General features: G+C 43.5%; 1 pseudogene; it reads right to left on the reverse strand.

Annotated features, from left to right (window-relative positions):
- On the reverse strand, positions 261–1,464 carry CIR1P1 (CIR1 pseudogene 1; annotated as a pseudogene).

The raw sequence follows: 1,855 nt of genomic DNA on the forward strand, positions 1-1,855 counted from the left end.
CAGTGGCCCAATCTCGGCTCACTGCAAGCTCTGCCTCCCGGGTTCATGCCATTCTCCTGCCTCAGCCTCCCGAGTAGCTGGGACTACGGGCGCCCGCCACCACACCCAGCTAATTTTTTGTATTTTTAGTAGAGAAAGCGTTTCACTGTGTTAGCCAGGATGGTCTCGATCTCCTGACCTCGTGATCTGCCCGCCTCGGCCTCCCAAAGTGCTGTATTACAGGCTGTTTTGCCTTCCACGTTGGCCAGGCTGGACTTGAACTCCCGTCATTTCTTTCAGAGCCTCTCTTCTCTGGGCTGTAATTATGGCTTCTGGACATTTTGTCAGAATCGGAATGGCTCCATTTGCTATCCTCCCTAGAACTTTCATGTTTTAAGAACCTGAGCTTTTCCTTGGCTTTTTCCTGGTTATGGTGACTGCTAGAAAGTTCTTCATGAAGTTTTCTCTTCTTAGAATGGTCCTTCACTTCAGAATCACTGTTGTTATGCCCTGAACACTTGCTTTTCTTTCTTTTCTTCCTATTTTTTTTCTTTATTGTCACTCTCACTCTCACTACTGCTTTCTAAAGTCTCAGTAGAGAAAGAGGAGGAGGGGGAGGAGGAGGAGGAAGAGGATTTATGATTTTTGTGTTTACTTCTGCTCTTCTGAAACTTTTTCTTTTTTCTATCTTTTTCTTTTCTTTTCTTTTTCTTCTCCAGTCGATCTAATTTCCTGAAAATTTCTGTTTTTGTTTAGCTGCTAGTGACTTTAAACATTCAACTTCTGGATATTCTTCACCCTCACTTGCAACATACTCCTTTGATGGATCATTTGTGGTCAGGTTCTCCCCAGTACATTTCGGTTCAGTGCAAACCCACTGTTTCTCATCTTCGCTATTAGCTCCAAGGGGTGCATCGATGGTCCTGAGCCATCAGTGGGAACCAAACTTGCATTGATTCCAGAAAGACCAAGCAAAGGACGTTCTTGATCTGTGTTGACATGACCCCACTGGTGACATTTAATGCACCACACATTTCAAACCTCAATACCACAGGGCTGCTCTCTGATGTTCATGTCATCTTTGACATATTTTTCTCATGGGGCTCCTTTCTGCCATTCACATTTGTATTCAGTCTCTCTTTCTGTTTCTTCTTTCTCTTTGTTTTCTCTTTTAGCTCCTGGTGGGGCTTCATACATGAAATTAAGGCCATTATTTACACGTTCATCTCCCATAAACAATCTGTTATCATATGGTTCTTGTTATTTATGATATTGCTGCATTAATTATTCTTGTTTCTTCTTATCATATGATATTTTCTGTTCTGCCATCCATACTTTTTTGATATTGGATTTGGAGGCAAGATGAAAATCCTTCTTGCACATGAAGTTGGTGAAGGATTTCCCCATCTTGGAGCTGGAGCTGGGTAAAGCAGCAGCTAAATCTGTAAGCAATGTAAACAAACTCAGCCTCCTAACCTGAACTGCTGCCACTGTATATTTTTTAAATGATGGCTCTAAGAATTACATCCACAACTTATCACACTCTTTGGTTTTTGTTTTTTTTTTTTTTTGGTTTTGAGATGGAGTCTCGCTCTGTCACCAGGCTGGAGTGCAATGGCATGATCTCGGCTCACTGAAACCTCTGCCTCCTGGGTTCAAGTGATTCTCCCACCTCAACCTCTCAAGCAGCTGGGGTTACAGGCACCTGCCATCAGGCCTGGCTAATTTTTGTATTTTTGTAGAGATAGGGTTTCACAATGTTGGCCAGGCTGGTCTTGAACTCCTGACCTCAGGTCATCCTCCTGCCTCGGCCTCCCAAAGTTCTGGGATTACAGTCATGAGCCACCGTGCCCGGCCCACACTCTTTCTTAAAATT

The sequence above is a fragment of the Homo sapiens genome, chromosome 5, assembly GCF_000001405.40.
Source record: "Homo sapiens chromosome 5, GRCh38.p14 Primary Assembly".
NCBI classification, from domain to species: Eukaryota; Metazoa; Chordata; class Mammalia; order Primates; family Hominidae; genus Homo; species Homo sapiens.